This window comes from Homo sapiens, chromosome 8 (assembly GCF_000001405.40).
Source record: "Homo sapiens chromosome 8, GRCh38.p14 Primary Assembly".
NCBI lineage: Eukaryota > Metazoa > Chordata > Mammalia > Primates > Hominidae > Homo > Homo sapiens.
In genome coordinates this window covers 131,634,128-131,636,799 of record NC_000008.11, presented here as the reverse complement: position 1 = coordinate 131,636,799, position 2,672 = coordinate 131,634,128, and the positions used below count along the sequence as shown (strand labels likewise).

General features: G+C 46.4%; 2 annotated features.

Moving 5' to 3' along the window:
- Nucleotides 756-1,360: an enhancer, noted in NCBI's record as "H3K27ac-H3K4me1 hESC enhancer chr8:132647687-132648291 (GRCh37/hg19 assembly coordinates)". NCBI's record gives its function as "activates a minimal SCP1, AML or CMV promoter by ChIP-STARR-seq in naive and primed H9 embryonic stem cells {active_cell/tissue: H9 hESC(naive and primed)}" and the evidence as "EXISTENCE:reporter gene assay evidence [ECO:0000049][PMID:30033119]".
- Nucleotides 1,361-1,966: an enhancer, noted in NCBI's record as "H3K27ac-H3K4me1 hESC enhancer chr8:132647081-132647686 (GRCh37/hg19 assembly coordinates)". NCBI's record gives its function as "activates a minimal SCP1, AML or CMV promoter by ChIP-STARR-seq in primed H9 embryonic stem cells {active_cell/tissue: H9 hESC(primed)}" and the evidence as "EXISTENCE:reporter gene assay evidence [ECO:0000049][PMID:30033119]".

Genomic DNA, 2,672 nt, shown 5'->3' with positions numbered 1-2,672 from the left:
GTGGGTTACCCAACCTTTCTCTCTGGCTGCCCTTAACATTTTTTCCTTCATTTCAACTTTGGTGAATCTGACAATTATGTGTCTTGGAGTTGCTCTTCTCGAGGAATATCTTTGTGGCGTTCTCTGTATTTCCTGAATCTGAACGTTGGCCTGCCTTGTTAGATTGGGGAAGTTCTCCTGGATAATATCCTGCAGAGTGTTTTCCAACTAGGTTCCATTCTCCCCATCACTTTCAGGTACACCAGTCAGATGTAGATTTGGTCTTTTCACATAGTCCCATATTTCTTGGAGGCTTTGCTCATTTCTTTTTATTCTTTTTTCTCTAAACTTCCCTTGTCGCTTCATTTCATTCATTTCATCTTCCATCGCTGATACCCTTTCTTCCAGTTGATCGCGTCAGCTCCTGAGGCTTCTGCATTCTTCACGTAGTTCTCGAGCCTTGGTTTTCAGCTCCATCAGCTCCTTTAAGCACTTCTCTGTATTGGTTATTCTAGTTATACATTCTTCTAAATTTTTTTCAAAGTTTTCAACTTCTTTGCCTTTGGTTTGAATGTCCTCCTGTAGCTCAGAGTAATTTGATCATCTGAAGCCATCTTCTCTCAGCTCGTCAAAGTCATTCTCCGTCCAGCTTTTTTCCATTGCTGGTGAGGAACTGCCTTCCTTTGGAGGAGGAGAGGTGCTCTGCTTTTTAGAGTTTCCAGTTTTTCTGTTCTGTTTTTTCCCCATCTTTGTGGTTTTATCTACTTTTGGTCTTTGATGATGGTGATGTACAGATGGGTTTTTGGTGAGGATGTCCTTTCTGTTTGTTAGTTTTCCTTCTAACAGAGAGGACCCTCAGCTGCAGGTCTGTTGGAGTACCCTGCCGTGTGAGGTGTCAGTGTGCCCCTGCTGGGGGGTGCCTCCCAGTTAGGCTGCTCGGGGGTCAGGGGTCAGGGACCCACTTGAGGAGGCAGTCTGCCTGTTCTCAGATCTCCAGCTGTGTGCTGGGAGAACCACTGCTCTCTTCAAAGCTGTCAGACAGGGGCATTTAAGTCTGCAGAGGTTACTGCTGTCTTTTTGTTTGTCTGTGCCCTGCCCCCAGAGGTGGAGCCTGCAGAGGCAGGCAGGCCTCCTTGAGCTGTGGTGGGCTCCACCCAGTTGGAGCTTCCTGGCTGCTTTGTTTACCTAAGCAAGCCTGGGCAATGGTGGGCGCCCCTCCCCCAGCCTCACTGCCACCTTGCAGTTTGATCTCAGACTGCTGTGCTAGCAATCAGCGAGACTCCGTGGGCGTAGGACCCTCTGAGCCAGGTGCGGGATATAATCTCGTGGTGCCCCGTTTTTTAAGCCCGTGGGAGAAGCGCATTATTCAGGTGGGAGTGACCTGATTTTCCAGGTGCCGTCTGTCACCCCTTTCTTTGACTAGGAAAGGGAACTCCCTGACCCCCTGCGCTTCCGGAGTGAGGCAATGCCTCGCCCTGCTTCAGCTCGCACACGGTGCATGCACCCACGGACCTGCGCCCACTGTCTGGCACTCCCTAGTGAGATGAACCCGGTACCTCAGATGGAAATGCAGAAATCACCCGTCTTCTGCGTCACTCACGCTGGGAGCTGTAGACCGGAGCTGTTCCTATTCGGCCATCTTGGCTCCTAGATACTCAGTATTAAACATCATGTGATTATTTCCATTCTACCAAAGATGATTGGGGAATTGAAGCTGCCTGCTAGTTTCAAATGAGTAGATAACCAGGCCAGATCTTCTGGATTCCATGTAAGGCTGAGATATTAACAGACTAAAATCAGTGAGGTGGGGAATGAGAAAGACAAAGTTGAAGGAAAATATAAGAGCATGGATCTTTTGTGTAGTATGTGCCTAGAAAAGGTATGTTTGGGAGGTAGGGAGGCAAGAGGGAGCAGCTAGAGAGGCTTGGAAACATGCCCTTAAACTGGGCTCCTTGAAGATAACTCTGATTTTATTATCTCTATTTCATTAGAGCTGAGCAGAACCTTGTATATGGTAGGTGCTTAATACATGCTGAGCAAGAGTGAGATTGAAGGAGAGAGACAAAGTGAAAGCATTACACTCTAAAGGTTCTTAAATGTCAAGGGAGACTTAGATCATCACATTGCTCAGTGTATGTCCATCACAGCCAGTATTTCTATCCTAGATGTCTGAGATCTGTGAGTCTTCTCATTAGTAGGTTGACCCTTTCATATATCATCAAAACCTTGAGAGTAAAAGGGGACATTATTAATAGTTGCACTGAGCCACAGACCTAAACTCAGACCCAAATGACGGCATATGGTCACTTTACCCTTCAAAAGTCAAACATGTACCTCTATGCAGGGACAGGGATGGTTGGGAGGGGTCTGTGTCTCTCTCCCAGGGAATGGAGTCCAAAGCACAGCAGTGGGCTCATAGCAGAAGCCTGTGTCTAGGTCAGTGAGGGCGATTGGTCAGGGATACTGCAGCTCTCCAGAGGTGAGTGTGCCCTTTACTTCTTCAGTTTCTGGCTCAAACACTCTAGGAGGCAGGTGTTTGGCAAATGAAAGCATTTTTTTTTTTTTAAATGGCAGGGAGCAATGTATCTGTAGGTGAATGTTACATTTTGTCAGAATGAAGCAGGTTAGAATTGCTTTTATTTAATTTATTTTAAATTTTTTCAGTTTATAATTCTGAGAAATCTTGTGTTGAG